We start from the raw sequence: 15,430 nt of genomic DNA on the forward strand, positions 1-15,430 counted from the left end.
TGTGTCACAACTTTGTGAATCACTATTCTGGGCATGTATAAGAAGTCGTCATATACCTCCATTGGGAATGTTATTTAATGATGTCACTAATACCAGACAAGGATGTCTCCTCAGGTAAGGCTCCTTGGAGGAGGCAGAGGTTGAGAAGAGGTGTAATTTAGGTTTTAAAAATTCAATAGCTGGACTTAACCTTGCATATCTCTACCTGTTATAACGGTGGTCCGGAAGGCTGCGATCTGAAGGCCCCTCAGCTAGTTGCTGCCACTGTGGGCACTCTGCGCATCTTTCACTTCTGAGCTCTTTCTGTATGCACTCTGTTCTGCAGATAAGTGAGAATGTGACTATTTGCTTAGTCAGTGACAGTGTCTCTAACCCTGGAAAGGAAGCTTTTACTCTCTCAGTTTTAGAGACATGTGAACAGGCTGGGGATATGAGGTCACTTACCCACTGTCTTATAATCAGCAGATGGCATGGTTGGCATTGGAGTTTAGGTCTGTCTGTGCTTTTCTGTACATTACATCCTTTTTAATGATGCGAAGGAAAAATGCAGTAGGGTCAATGAGACAAATGGAATGCAGGTTGCTGGGGAAAGAATGCAGGTTCTGCGTTATAAATGCACACACATTTACTGTGCCACTTGGGTTCTGAACTTTGCGGTTAAATTGATTTAAAAACTGGTGTAGAGGTGGTAAAACTTAATCACCGAATGAGAATATTTGGGTTTGCTTCAGGAGGTCGCAAGCCACTTCTTGATTAGTAGAAATGGGAAATTAAGGGCCACCTTCAGGCGTTTAACTGAATTGTCCTGGGGATTTAATTTGCCTTTCGACTTAATGCTAAATTTTTGTTGTTTTTGGTTTTTAAAGTAATGTAAGTTTATCGCGCCAACGGTAAGATGTCGCTCTGGACGCGTGCACCTGCTCTCGCAATCACCGACTGCGGTCAGCATCTTCCTTAGAGCAGCGCCCCGGGCCACTTGGATCCCGGTCTCAATTTACTAAGCGAACCCAGAGGATGCCCCGAGTCCTGGACCGCAGAGCCGCTCGCGAGAGGCACCGGGGCTGTAACCGCGCAACCTCGTGCCGCGGGCGGAGGCGAGGGAGGATTCCCCGGCCGGTGCCCGCCCCCGGGCTAAAGTGCGGCGCGGGTGGGGCTGGTCACGCGCCTGGCTTCCTGCAGTGCGAACCTGGGAAATCCAGGCGACTTCGCAGTTGCCGAAGGGATCTGAAGAAGTGGGATGTGCAAAAGCGCCGGCTGGAAATCCCGGCTGTGTCTCCGTCAACTCTTTACGCAACAGAGGTCTCCCCCTGCCCTTGGTTTCTACCGGGCCGCCTGCTCCCACTCGGCGAAAAAAATTACACAACAGCAGCCGCGGCGATGACGTGGAGGGCTGCCGCCTCCACGTGCGCGGCGCTCCTGATTCTGCTGTGGGCGCTGACGACCGAAGGTAGGGGGCGGCTGGGGTGGGCTGGGGCGGGGGCTCCTGGCGCCAGAGGGTCCTCGCGGGTCGGCTCCCTAGCATCCCGCCAGGGGACCTCAACTTCCTGGGGGCTGAGAGCTCTATTTTCTTTTCTATTTCTTCTCCTTTTTTTTTTTTTTTTTTTTTGAGACGGAGTCTCGCTCTGTCTCCCAGGCTGGAGTGAAGTGGCGCGATCTCGGCTCACTGCAAGCTCCGCCTCCCAGGTTCACGCCATTCTCCTGCCTCAGACTCCCGAGTAGCTGGGACCACAGGCGCCCGCCACCATGCCCGGCTAATTTTTTGTACTTTTAGTAGAGACGGGGTTTCACAGTGTTAGCCAAGATGGTCTCCTTGACCTAGTGATCCAGCCGCCTCGGCCTCCCAAAGTGCGGGGATTACAGGCGTGAGCCCCCGCGCCCGGCCTGGGGGCTCTATTTTCAAGCGTCCCTCCTTTGTGAGAAGCGGAGTCCCCGATGCAACAGGTTTACATTGAAGGCCTGCCCTGTGCAGGGTCGACACCTGTGAGAGCGGAAACGGTGCTTCCTTGGATGTCGCGCGTTTGGTGCCTCGGTATTTGGCGCCTCTCTCGCATCATCCGAGGGGCCGGAGGAGAGAAGAAAATCAGGGAATCGGTAAATTGGAAAAATCATTCATCCGCATATCAGTGGGTCCTCCTGGCTTTGCTAAGTTAGGTCTTTACTGAGAGAGGGAGGGGAGTGTTTTGATCTTGTGGTGACCTTCAAACGTTCTCTTGCTTTTTTGGGAACTCGTATGGGCGTGTTCTGCGTTAACTTAAACAGGAGACTAAAAGGCTGAAACGCGTATGTAGAGATATTTAAACTCATTTCTAACTAGAAGAATGGCAATTAAACAACAAGATGCTGCTTGACCCTTACTAGGCTGGCCAAAATACGCTCCTGGGTGCCGGGTGGTGGAGGTGGAATGTAGGAATCCCGGAGGCGCGCTCTGGGCGCCCCGAGTCACTGCAGGTGGAGGAGAGCCGCGTGTGGACCTCACCGTGGAGACCTTGGCGGCAGCTTCACACCACGCCCTTGCTGCTTGCCGAGCAGCGTGAACGGATGTTGAAGGCGTAGAGCCAAGTAAACAGTGGACATACAATGCAATACCATTTCCACAGTTTGAGAAACAGAAGATACAGCCTTAAAGAGAACAAAAATTACATGTTAAACACCTTAGAATGGCTGCCCGATGGGAGAGGGAAGTGGAAATAAAAACGAGTGAATAGTATTTCTATACATTTGCAATAAGCAATGTGAAAATAAGACAGTTCCGAGTGAAGTGTGGGCGGTGAAGTGGAAAGCCAAAATTGCGCTTGTCTCCGCGCTGCGGACTTGAAACGCCTGTCACTGCGGTCTGGAAACGCCTGTCGCTGCGGTCTGGAAACGCCTCCGCGCTCTATCAGTCTGGGTCTCCTCGAGCTCGAAGTGGCGCCAGTGGGCTGCCGCCGCGCCCACCCGGTCCCATGCCCGTCCCGCGCCCCCTCCCGGGCCCGGCGCCCCCTCCTCAGGGGCCTTGGGTCCCCGCCACTTTCGTCCGGTCTCGGTCCCCGCGGATGCTGGTGGTGGTGGAGAAGGGCCGCGAGTTCTCAGGGAAGCGGAGAGGGAGGAACGCCGTTTGGCTGTGCGGCGGCGCCCAGTGACGGCAGCAGCAGCAGCAGCTCCTGGAGGAAGCTAGTTCCGGCTCGTCCAGCCACGAGGAGCGCGGCGGCGGCTGCATGAGGGTCGGACCCCAGAACCAGGCGTTGGTGCTGGACTTTGGCACCGGAAGAGACTGTGAAATGGAAAACCGTTTCGGAAGCTTTCGCCTAACAAATCATTTCCGCCTACAAGAAATTCCTACACCTTAGGATGGAGCATCTGTTTGCCTGGCTGCTATTCTGCGTGGAAGCAAATTTAAAGTGGTACAAGAAAAAAAAAATCCAGTCATACAAAGGAATTCGTCAGATTTTAATGCAAGAGATTCTAGCCCGTCTTTGTATGAGAATGTCTTTAAAGGTTGTTGATATAGAAAATGTTTTAAAGAACGTTAGGTTTTATTTCAGAAATGAAGTTGAAAAGAGCAATTTGTAAAGCTGTAGTTAACAGTCCTCCCTAGTTGGAGAGCTCTAGAACTGGAGGTTCTCTATGTAGGTTATACCACTAGTTGATTTGAAAAGATAAATGCATAAATGCTTTTCCTTGGAAACAAGACTGCAGAAAATTCCAAGGATCTAGTCCTTGAAAAAGGCGAATGCTGTTAAGCTGTTAAGGTACTACACTCTGTACCTTTAAATGAAAATACATGGAGGTCCTGGGTGAGCGCTTGGGCGCTCTGAAAATAGACGAGGTTTCCCAAATTTGCCTTCTAAATTTTGATTTGTTGATTTAAATCTTCTAAATTTATGTAGTCTGGCACTCAGGTTTGTATTCCTTTTAAGCACATGTTAGTGTTTTTGATATTTTCCCTTCTCCCTCCGACCCCCCAATTCTTCTTCTTTTTTTTTTTTTTTTTTTTTTTTTTTTGGTAGTCACTTTTCGTTTTTAAGAGTGACAATACAACTAGGTGGCCTGGCTGTTTCATATCCTTGGTTTCTCCATTTCTTGGTTGGCCACCAGGGGGAAGCATACTGTTTTTTTGGTTACAGTTGACCCTATCTTCATTTTGTAGGTCAAGTCTGTTTTTGCTTTGATACATAGAACAGAAAGCTTGTCACCGCGTTTCCCTAATGTATTATTTTAAAAAATAGACTTGCACAAATCTTTGAGTAAGTTGGCAGGTTTTTGGATACATTTTTGTTAACATTAATTTTGAAAACTTTATTTAGATATGTTGGATGTGACTAATGAAAGGACATGTTTGATGGCAACAAGGGGAATTCGGTTTCTGACATTTATCTAAATATAGATGTCTAGCTCTGCATTGTTAGTAATGAGTCTGACTTCTTTGGAGTTGTACTCTTCTTTGAAATAGCAAATGTAATATTTTGAACTGTCCTTGCACTTTTTGTTGGAATAGGTATAAGCGTAAACTTGCTAGCAACCTACTGTTCTAAAATGGAAAACATCTAGCCAGTCGCAGTGGCTCATACCTGTAATCCCAATACTTGAGGAGGCAATGAGAGGATTGCTTGAGCCCAGGAGTTAGAGACCAGTCTGGGCAACTTAGTAAGACTCCATCTCTACAAAAAATGAAAAAATTAGCTGAGCATGGTGGCATGTGCCTGTAGTCCCAACTACTTGGGAGGCTGAGACAGGAGGATCACTTGAGCCCAGGAGGTGGAGGCTGCAGTGAGCAGTGATAGCACCACTGCACTCCAGCTTGGGTGACACAGCGAGACCCTGTCTCTAAATAAATAAATAGGAAAACATCAAAAAAAAAAGAGAAAATTCTCTTTACAATAGCATCAAAAGATAAAATACTTATGAGTAAATTTAACGAAAGAAACAGAAAATATATACTCTGGAAACTGTAAAATATTGCTGAAAGAAATTTAAAATCTAAATAAATGAAATGGAAAAATGTCCTGTCTTAGTCTTGCCAGGCTACCATAACAGATATATACTGTGTGGCTTAAACAGAAATTTATTTCTCATGATTCTGGAGGCTGGGAAGTCCAAGAGGAAAGTGTGGATGATCTGGTTTCTGGTGAGAGCCTCATTTCTAGTTTATAGAAGGATACCTTCTTGCTGTATCTTTACGTGGTGGAGAGAGACATATCTCTCTGTCATGTCTTTTCTTATTTATTTATTTATTTGTTTGTTTTTGAGACAGAGTCTCACTCTGTCACTCGGGCTAGAGTGCAATGGCATTATCACGGCTGACTGCAGCCTTGAACTTCTGGGCACAAGGGATCCTCTCACCTCAGCCTCCCAAGTAGCTGGGACTACAAGTGCTAACCACCATGCTGGGCTAATTTATTTTTATTTTTTTGTAGAGACAAGGTCCCATTATATTGCCTAGTCTGGTCTGGAACACCTGGGCTCAAACGATCCTCTGGCCTCAGACTCTGGGAGTGCTGGGATTATAGGTGTGAACCACCAGGCCCAGCTTCATGTCTTGTCTTTTTCTTTTCTTTTCTTTCTTTCTTTTTTTTTTTTTTTTTTTGAGACAGAGTGTCGCTCTGTCACCCAGGCTGGAGTGCAGTGGCATGATCTCAGCTCACTGCAACCCCTGCCTCCTGGGTTCAAGCAATTCTCCTGCCTTAGCCTCCCGAGTAGCTGGGATTACAGGTGTGCACCACCACGCCTGGCTAATTTTTTGTATTTTTAGTAGAGATGGGGCTTCACCATGTTAGCCAGGATGGTCTCAATCTCCTGACCTCATGACCTGCCTGCCTGGGCCTCCCAAAGTGCTGGGATTACAGGCATGAGCCACCGTGCCTGGCCTCATGTCTTTTCTTGTAAGGGCACTAATCCCATTCGTGAGGACTTTCCTCTTATGACCTAATCGCTTCCCAAAGGCCCTGCCTCCAGATACCATCACACTGGGGGTCAGGCCTCCATATGAATTTTGGAGGACTCAAGCATTCAGTCCATAGCACATCTCAAAAAGATGTTCATACATTGGTAAACTGAACATTGTGTCCTCTTATTGCCACAGGTGATCTGAAAGTAGAGATGATGGCAGGGGGGACTCAGATCACACCCCTGAATGACAATGTCACCATATTCTGCAATATCTTTTATTCCCAACCCCTCAACATCACGTCTATGGGTATCACCTGGTTTTGGAAGAGTCTGACGTTTGACAAAGAAGTCAAAGTCTTTGAATTTTTTGGAGATCACCAAGAGGCATTCCGACCTGGAGCCATTGTGTCTCCATGGAGGCTGAAGAGTGGGGACGCCTCACTGCGGCTGCCTGGAATCCAGCTGGAGGAAGCAGGAGAGTACCGATGTGAGGTGGTGGTCACCCCTCTGAAGGCACAGGGAACAGTCCAGCTTGAAGTTGTGGGTGAGTGTCTCGGGGCAGTGCCCTACAGTTCCCATGGTGTTGGGGTTAGCAACAACAAAACCCACACACCTCTTTGAGCTCCACTTTCCTGTATTATAAAATGGTCTGATAATACATGGATGAGCTTGGTGGCTGTATTAGTTTGCTAAGGCTGCCATAACAAAATACCATTGACTGGATGCCTTTAAACAACAGATGTTTATTTTTCACACTTTTGGAAGGCTAGAAGTCTGAGATGAAGACATCAGCAGGATTGGTTTCTTCTGAGGCCTCTCTTCTCTGGCCATCTTCTCCCTGTGTCTTCACATGGTCTTTCCTTTGTGCCTATATCTGTGTCCTAATTTCCTCTTCTTATAAGGATACCAATCATATTGGATCAGAGCCCATCCTAATAACCCCATTTTTAACTTAATTACCTCTTTAAAGAACCTATCTCTAAATACAGTCACATTCAGAGATACTGGGAATTCTGGGAGGACATAAGAATTTTAGGAGGACATAATTCAGCCCAGCATGGGCCCTCCATAATTGTACATAAGACTTTGAATGTTTTGTCCGTAGTAATTTTGGGAGTGAGAGGCATATTAATTAGGATTCACTTCCTCTGCAACTGACAGAGGAATAACAGTGACAGTGGCTATATATACGGCCAACTGACAGTGGCCGTATATATATAGCCACTGTTCTTCTAGGCTTTATATATCTATATAAAGGGTCTACATAGGAGACAGGGTCTCCCTCTGTTGCCCAGGCTGGAGAGCATGGCACAATCATAGCTCACTGTAACCTCAAACTCCAGGGCTCAAGTGATCCCCCTGCCTCAGCCTCCTGAGTAGCTAGGACCTCGGTTGCATGCCACCATGCCTGGCGAATTTTTACATTTTTGTAGAGATGGGGCCTTGTGTTGCCCAGGCTCGTCTCCAACTTCTGGCCTCAAGAGATCCTTGTGCCCGGGCCTCTCAATGTGCTGGCATTACAGGGATGAACTACCATGCCTGGCCAACAGTGGCTTTTAAAGACATTAATAGACTTTTTTTAAGGACAGTTTTAGATTTACAGAAACATTGCAAAAATAGTATGAGAGTTCTCATATCACTCACGCCCTGCATACCATTTCCCCTGTTATTAACATCTTGTATTCGTATGGTACCTTGATATAATTAATGAACCCATATTGACATTTTACTATAATGAAAGTGTGTAATTTATTCATATTTCCTTAGTTTTTACCTAATGTCCTTTTCCTGCTCCAGGATCCCGTCAGAATACCACATTGCATTTAATTGTTATATGTTCTTAGGCTCCTTTTTGCTGTGACAATTTCTTAGACCTTATTTTTGATGTCCTTGACAGTTTGGTGAGGGTATTGGTCAGGTATATTGCAGGATGTCACTAAGTTAGGATTTGTCTGCTGTTTTCCTCATAATTGGACTTGGGGTTATGGGTTTTTGGAGGAACATCGCAGAGGTAAACTGCCATTTTCATCACATCAAATCACATGACTTATGACTGTTGATGTTGACCTTGACCATCTAGTTGAAGTAGTGTTTGTCTGGTTTCTCTACTGAAAAGTTACTCTTCCTCCTATTTTCATACTGTACTCTTTGAAAGGAAGTCACTCTGTGCAGCCCACACTTAAGGTTGGGGGTTACTTATGTTCTTCCTCCTTGGAGGTGGAGTATCTACATAATTTTTTTAAGAATTCTTCTGCATGGGAGATTTATCTCTTTTCTCCCATTTATGACTTTATTCAATCATTGATATCAATAAGGACTCAAGGATATTTATTTTATACTTTGTGTTATAATGCAATACTACTTTATTTTTTCTCAAATTTTTCCAGCTTTGGCCACGGGGAGCTCATTCACTTGGCTCTTGTGTCACATTGACATACCCCAATCATTGTAAGATTTTGTTTTGTTTTATTATTTTATTTTTTGTTTTATTTAATTTTTGGCAAATTCATATCAAGAATTTTGTTTGATTTTAAGCACTTTTTACATTTTGGCACTATAAGATGCTCCAGACTCATCTTGTATATTTCCTCTCTTGTATATTTCCTGGTTCTAGTCCTAGAACCAACCAATACTCCAAGAAACCTTGGTTCCTTTTATTGGAAAGTGATCTTAGAAACCAAGACCTGGACAGTAAGTGTACTTTTTGCTGCTGAGGTATCATTGATTCTAGACCCTCTCAGCCAACAGAGCAAAGAAATACATGTATGCATACTAACCTCTGCATATACACATATCTACAAATATTTCTATGTGTAACCATCTGTACCTATATTACATTAAACATTTGTTCTTACTGATGTCTCCAACTTTAGTCCATCACCACATAGATCATTCTAGTTTCCTTCTCTTGCTCATCTGTAAACTCCCACTCCAACAGTGAGAAACCTGTACCCACCATCCTCTGTTTATTGAATTAATTATTAACCTGTACTCCGATAAGAAACAACTTTATCTACTAGAGTACAGTGCTTTTTGGCAATTCCTTTTTTTTTTTTTTTTGAGATTTTTTTTTTGAGACAGTCTTGCTCTGTTGCCCAGGCCGGAGTGCAGTGGTGTGACCTTGGCTTACTGCAACCTCCACCTCCCAGGTTTAAGCGATTCTCCTGCCTTAGCCTCCCAGGTAACTAGGATTACAGGTGCCCGCCACCACGCCTGGCTAATTTTTGTATTTTTAGTAGAGATGGGGTCTCACCATGTTGGCCAGGCTGGTCTTGAACTCCTGACCTCAGATGATCTGCCCACCTCAGCTTCCCAAAGTACTGGGATTACAGGCATGAACCACCATACCCAGCCCAGATTTTAGCCATTTTAATAAGTATATAGTGGTATCTCATTTGTTGTTTTAATTAGCAGTTCCCTAATGATATAATGTTGGACATCTTTTCATATTCTTACTTGCCATTCGTATGTCTTCTTTTTTTGTGTGTTCATTGGTTGTCCAGGCTGGAGTGCAGTGGTGTGATTACAGCTCACTTCCCAGGCTCAGGTGATTCTCCCAGGCTTCAGCCTCCCAAGTAGCTAGGACTACAGGTGCACATCACCATGCCTGGCTAATTTTTGTATTTTTTGTAGAGATAGGGTTTTGCTGTGTTGCCCAGGCTGGTCTTGAACTCCTGGGCTCAAATGATCTGCGTGTCTCGGCCTCCCAAAGTACTGGGAATTGTATGTCTTCTTTGATGAGATGTTTGTTCAGATTGTTTGCCTATTTTTTAACTGGGCTCATTTTTTAAATTGTTGTGTTTTAAGAGTCCTTTGTACATTCTGGATACAAGCCTTTATCAGATAGATGTCTCACAGATATTTTCTCACAGTCTGTGGCTTGTCTTTTCATTCTCTTAACAATGTCTTTTGTAGAGCAGAAGTTCTTAATTTTAAAAAGTCGAACTTACTACATTTTTCTTTCATGGATCATGCTCTTAACATTGTGTCCTAAAGCTCATCACCAAACCCAAGGCTACCTAGATTTTCTCCTGTGTTATCATCTAGAAGGTTTATAGTTTTACCATTGACATTTAGGTCTATGATGCAGTTTACTTTAATTTTTGTGAAAAGTGTAAGGTTTGTGTCTATATTCTATATGTATTTTTTTTTTTTTTGCATATGAACACCTAATTGTTCCAGCATCATTTGTTGAAAAGACTGTCCTTTCTCCATTGAATTGCCTTTGCTTCTTTGTCAAAGATCAGTTGAATATATTTGTGTGGGTCCATTTCTGGGCTTTCTATTCAGTTTCTTTTCTTTTTCTTTTTTTCTTTTAATACAGGCTGGAGTACAGTGACACAATCTTGGCTCACTGCAGCCTCTGCCTCCTGGGCCCTGGCAATCCTACCATCTCAGCTTTCCGAGTAGCTTGTGCTACAGGCTCGCGCCACCGCTCCCAGCCAATTTTTGTATTTTTGTAGAGATAGAGTTTCGCCGTGTAGCCCAGGCTGGTCTGGAACTTCTGAGCTCGAGTGATCTCCCCCGTCTCAGCCTCCCAAAGTGTTGGGATTATAGGTGTGAGCCACCACACCCTGCCCTATTCAGTTTCATTGATCTCCCTCTTCTTTCCCCAGTACCACACTATCTTGATTATTGTATTTTAGTAGTAAGTCTGGAAGTCAGGTAGTGTTAGTCCCTCATTTTTGTTGCCTTTCTTCAGTATAGTGTTAGCTATCTGGGTTTTTTCTTTCCATACAAATTTGAGAATCTGTTGATATCTGCAAAATGGCTTTCCGGGATTTTGACTGGGATTGCATTGAATCTAGAGATCAAGTTGGGAAAAATTGACATTTTTTTTTTTTTTTTGAGACAGAGTCTCGCTGTGTTGCCCAGGCTGGAGTGCAGTGGTACAATCTCAGCTCATTGCAACCTCTGCCTCCTGGGTTCAAGCAATTCTCCTACCTCAGCCTCCCGAGTAGCTGGGATTACGGGCATGCGCCACCACGCCTGGCTAATTTTTGTATTTTTAGTAGAGACGGGTCACCAAGTTGGCCAGGCTGGTCTCAAACACCTGACCTCAAATGATCCACCAGCTTCGGCCTCCCAAAGTGCTGGGATTACAGATGTGAGCCACCACACCTGGCCAATGGTATTATATTTTTAATTTCAAATTCCAGTTGCTCAATTGTTCATTCCTGTCAAATAATTGATTTTTGCTTATTAACTTTGTATCCTGCAACTTGCTTTAATCACTTATTCATTCTAGGGATTTTTTTGTTTTTGTTTTTGTTTTTGTTTTTGGCCAAGTCTTGAGATTTTTCTACATAAATCAGGCTGTCTGTTAAAAATACAGTTTTATTTCTTCCATTATTTTATTTTATTTTTTACAGAGGTGAGGTCTCACTATGTTGCCCAGGCTGGTTTTGAACTCCTGAGCTCAAGTGATCCCCCTGCCTTGGCCTCCCAAAGTGCTGGGATTACATTGTGTGAGCCACTGTACCAGGCCTCATATTTCTTCCATTCTAACTTTATACCTTTTATTTCCTTTTCTTGTCCTGTTATGCTAGCTTAGACTTCCATTACAATGTTGCACAGGAGTGGTTAGAAGGGACATCTTGTCCATTTCTGATTTTACTTTCTAACCATGAAATATGATATTAGCTATTTTTTGGTAGATATTCTTTAGCAAGTTGAGGAAGTTTCCCTTTTATTCCTAGTTTGCTAAGAGTTTTTCATATGAATCAGTCTTGGGTTTTGTCAAATACTTTTTCTGCATTATTGGTATGATCATATAATTTTTTCTTTAGCCTGTTGATATGATGACTTACATTAACCAATTTTTGAATGATAAGCCAGCCTTGCATATGTGTAATATGCCTCTCTTGGTTATGGTATGTAATTTTTTCTGTATTGTTGGATTATATTTGCTAATATTTTCTTGAGGATTTTGTATCTACTTTAATGAGTGATATTGATCTGTAGTTATCTTTTCTGGTAATGTCTTTATGCGGTTTTGGCAGTAGGATAATATTGGGCTTGTAGAATAAGTTAGAATGTGTTCCCTCTGTCTACTTCTACTTTCTGGAAGAAATTGTAAAAAACTGGCATTATTTATTCCTTAAATGTTTAGTAGGATTAACCAGTGAAACCATCCGAACCTGGTGCTTTCCTTTTTGGAAGGTGATTTTTTTCTTCTTCTTTTTTTTTTTTTTTACTAGTTATTGACTCAGTGTCTCCTTCCTTCCTTCCTTCCTTTCTTTCTTTCTTTCTTTCTTTCTTTCTTTCTTTCTTTCTTTCTTTCTTTCTTTCTTTCTTTCTTTCTTTCTTTCCTTCCTTCCTTCTTTCCTTCTTTCTCTCTCTTTCTTTCTTTCTTTCTTTCTTCCTTTCTTCCTTTCTTCATTTCTTCATTTCCTTCCTTTCTTTCTCCCCTCCCCTCCCCTCCGCTCCCCTCCCCTCCCCTCCCTTCCCTTCCCTTCCCTTCCCTTCTCTTCCCTTTCTTCCTGCAACGTCTTGCTTTGCTGTCCAGGCTGGAGTGCAGTGGTGCGATCATGGCTCCCTGCAGCCTTGACCTCCTGGGCACTAGCGATACTCCCACCTCGGCCTCTGGAATAGCTGGGACCACAGGCATGCACCACCATGCCCTGCTAATTTAATTTTTTTTTTTTTTTTAAGAGATGGAGTCTATGTTGCCCAGACTCGTCTTGAACTCCCTCGGCTCAAGTGATCCTCCCACCTTGGTCTCCCAAAGTGCTGGGATTACAGGCATGAGCCACCATGCCTGGCCCACTAAAGCACTTCTTTTTATGTTTCTCGCACAGCAGGTCTATTGGTGAAAGGTTTGTCTGAGAAAGTCTTTATTTATACTTCACCTTTGAAGGAAAATTTTTCTGGATATAAGATTCCATGTTGGTGTTTTTCTCTTTTTTAAGTTTCAATGCTTTAAATATTTCACTTCACTCTCTCCTTGCTTGCATTGTTTCTGACAAGAAGTCCAGTGTTGTTCTTGTTCTTCTATATGTAAGGTGTGTTTTTTTTCCTGTGACTTTTTTCTGTCTTTCTTTTCCCTCCCTCCCTCCCTCCCTCCCTCCCTCCCTCCCTCCCTCCCTTCCTTCCTTCCTTCCTTCCTTCCTCTTTCTCTCTTTTCTTTTCTTTTCTTTCTTTCTTCTTTTGAGATGGGGTCCCACTCTGTTTCCCAGGTTGGAGTGCAGTGGTATGATCACGGCTCATTGCAGCTTCACCCTAGTGGGCTCAAGCCCAAGTGATCCTCCCACCTCCGCCTTCCAAGTAGCTGGGGCCACACGCGGGTGCCACTAAGCATGGCTAATTTTTGTATTTTTTGTAGAGATGGTGTTTCATTATGTTGCCCAGGCTGGCCTCGAACTCCTGAGCTCAAGTGATCCACCTGCCTTGGTCTCTGAAAGTGCTGGGATTATAGGAGTGAGCTACCATGCTTGGCCATCTTTGTCTTTCTAAAGTTGAAATATGATATGGCTAGACGTGGATAGGCATATTTGGATATTTATCATGCCTGGTATTCTCTAAGCTTCCTGGGTCTTTAGTTTGGTGTCTATCATTAATTTTGGAAAATTCTCAGCCATTATTTATTCAAATTATTTCTTCTGCTCCTTTCTCTTTTCTTCTTCTTGTATTCCCATTATATATCTGTTACACCTTTTGCAGTATCCCACAGTTCTTGGCTATTCTGGGGTTTTTTTTAAATTCTTTTTTCTCCTTGTATTTCAGTTTGGGAAGTTTCTTTTTTAAAAATTGTTTGTGATAGGGTCTTGCTCTGTATCCCAGGCTGGAGTGCAATGGCGGGATCTTGGCTCAATGCAACCTCTGCTTCCCAGGTTCAAGCAATTCTTGTGCCTCAGTCTCCTGAGTAGCTGGGACTACAGGTGTGCACAACCATGCTGGCTAATTTTTGTTTTTTAAGTAGAGACGGGGTTTTGCCATGTTGGACAGGGTGGTCGCCAACTCCTGACCTCAAGCAATCTGCCCACCTTGGCCTCCCAAAGTGCTTGGATTATAGGTGTGAGCCACCACACCGTGCCCAGTTTGGGAAGTTTCTATTAACATCTTCAAGCTCACTGATTCTTTCCTTGTCAGTTTCTTTTTTTTTTTGAGACGGAGTTTTGCTCTTGTTGCCCAGTCTGGAGTGCAGTGGCGTGATCTCAGGTCACTGCAACCTCCGCCTCCTGGGTTCAAGTGATTATCCTGCCTCAGCCTCCCAAGTAGCTGGGATTACAGGCATGCGCCACCACCCCTGGCTAATTTTGTATTTTTAGTAGAAATGGGGTTTCTCCATATTGGTCAGGCTGGTCTCGAACTCCTGACCTCAGGTGATCCACCCACCTCGGCCTCCCAAAGTGCTGGGATTATAGGTATGAGCCATTGCGTTCAGCCTCCTTGTCAGTTTCAAGTCTACTGTTGAACCCACTGAAGGCATTCTTCATTTCTTTAATGGTGTTTTGAGCTCTAGCATTCACTTTTGGTTCGTTCTTAGCATTTCCATCACTCTGCTTATATTATCCATCTGTTTGTGCATGTTATCTGCTCTTTCTGTTAGTGCTCTTAACATTTTAATTATAGTTTTTTAAAATTCCCTATATGATAATTCTAAAATCTGTGTCATACCTGAGTCTGGGTCTGATGTTTGCTTTGTTTTTATGTATTTTTTAGCCTTGTAATTTTTTAGTTGAAAGAGAGATATTATGTATCAGGTAATAGGCTTTTATTATGCGGCCTTATGTTAATTTGGCTAGGAGCTGGGTTGTGTTTAATGCTTATTGTAGCTATAGGTGCCAGAGACTTCAGTTTCTCTAGTGTTTTTTTCTCTCCTTTCCTATTGTCTTTGGGTTTCCTTATGAACTCCTTAAATAGGTTCTGTGCCTTGTAGCTCTCTCACTTATAATCTTCTGTTATTATACTGGAGCCCTGTTGATGTGGTAGTAAAGTGTTGGAGGAGAATCTGTTTATACTTTTATGATTAAATCTTATTCTTTTAGTGGCCTGAGCCTCTGGACTGTGGCCTTCAGAAGTGTTTCTTAGCCTTTTCTCTTTCTCTCTTCTTAAGTAATACAGAAAGGCTATAGACAGCTGGAGTTGGCTAATTTTCTTCTCTCAGGTCAGATAAGGCTCTGACATCTTCCCTTGAGATGGAGGGAATAATCTAGGTATATTTTAAAATGATTACTTCTTTCCATCCCCCAGAAAGAGGAGGAGATTTTTCTTGGCTCTTTACTGTGAGAATCTGGTGGGGTTCCTGGAAGTAAAACTCATGACAGTGTGATAGCATCCCCAAGACTGGGTCCCGAGGATGAAAACCCATGAAAGTGTGGTAAGCATCCCTAAGACCAGGACCTGAGGAGGTTTTTATTCTCAAGCTAGTCCACACTCATCCTTTAGCAGTTTGTCGGAGTTACTGCTTAAGTACTTCTACTGGTTTATGACTCCAGCAGCTTCTGCATGAGGTGATTTGATCTTAGCTGTAATTTTCTTAATCTCCTTCTTTCTCCAGTTTTCTGAGTGGCAGTTTGCCCTGTCACTTCAATTCTCTGAGGAATCTAAGAAAAGCTGTTGA

General features: G+C 43.7%; 1 protein-coding gene and 1 long non-coding RNA gene across 5 annotated transcripts in view, besides 4 other annotated features; one reads left to right on the forward strand and one right to left on the reverse strand.

Annotated features, from left to right (window-relative positions):
• Nucleotides 1-220: 220 nt before the first annotated feature.
• On the reverse strand, nucleotides 221-1,274 carry LOC105376576 (uncharacterized). Its single transcript, XR_931094.3, has 3 exons — nucleotides 1,187-1,274; nucleotides 445-582; nucleotides 221-319 (listed from the first exon to the last, which is right to left on the reverse strand). It is a non-coding gene; the product is annotated as an uncharacterized LOC105376576 (long non-coding RNA).
• Nucleotides 1,030-1,149: a silencer, noted in NCBI's record as "silent region_3184". NCBI's record gives its function as "represses an Ori minimal core promoter by ATAC-STARR-seq in GM12878 lymphoblastoid cells {active_cell/tissue: GM12878}" and the evidence as "EXISTENCE:reporter gene assay evidence [ECO:0000049][PMID:35858748]".
• Nucleotides 1,146-1,747: an enhancer, noted in NCBI's record as "H3K4me1 hESC enhancer chr11:17373285-17373886 (GRCh37/hg19 assembly coordinates)". NCBI's record gives its function as "activates a minimal SCP1, AML or CMV promoter by ChIP-STARR-seq in naive H9 embryonic stem cells {active_cell/tissue: H9 hESC(naive)}" and the evidence as "EXISTENCE:reporter gene assay evidence [ECO:0000049][PMID:30033119]".
• The window catches only part of NCR3LG1 (natural killer cell cytotoxicity receptor 3 ligand 1), a 29,862-nt gene continuing 15,639 nt past the window's right edge, over nucleotides 1,208-15,430 (forward strand). For 2 of the 4 annotated variants that reach the window (XM_047426906.1, NM_001202439.3), the window contains exons 1-2: nucleotides 1,208-1,447; nucleotides 6,059-6,409. In XM_047426906.1, coding sequence (XP_047282862.1) covers nucleotides 1,378-1,447; nucleotides 6,059-6,409 — 421 coding nt within the window. In that variant the 5' untranslated portion in view covers nucleotides 1,208-1,377. Of the gene's footprint in view, nucleotides 2,092-2,872; nucleotides 3,381-6,058; nucleotides 6,410-15,430 lie in introns of those variants that run through there. The other 2 variants (XM_011520074.4, XM_011520075.4) reach the window with 2 other exon arrangements.
• Nucleotides 1,748-2,349: an enhancer, noted in NCBI's record as "H3K4me1 hESC enhancer chr11:17373887-17374488 (GRCh37/hg19 assembly coordinates)". NCBI's record gives its function as "activates a minimal SCP1, AML or CMV promoter by ChIP-STARR-seq in naive H9 embryonic stem cells {active_cell/tissue: H9 hESC(naive)}" and the evidence as "EXISTENCE:reporter gene assay evidence [ECO:0000049][PMID:30033119]".
• Nucleotides 2,574-2,623: an enhancer, noted in NCBI's record as "active region_4488". NCBI's record gives its function as "activates an Ori minimal core promoter by ATAC-STARR-seq in GM12878 lymphoblastoid cells {active_cell/tissue: GM12878}" and the evidence as "EXISTENCE:reporter gene assay evidence [ECO:0000049][PMID:35858748]".

Source organism: Homo sapiens, chromosome 11 (genome assembly GCF_000001405.40).
Source record: "Homo sapiens chromosome 11, GRCh38.p14 Primary Assembly".
Taxonomy (NCBI): domain Eukaryota; kingdom Metazoa; phylum Chordata; class Mammalia; order Primates; family Hominidae; genus Homo; species Homo sapiens.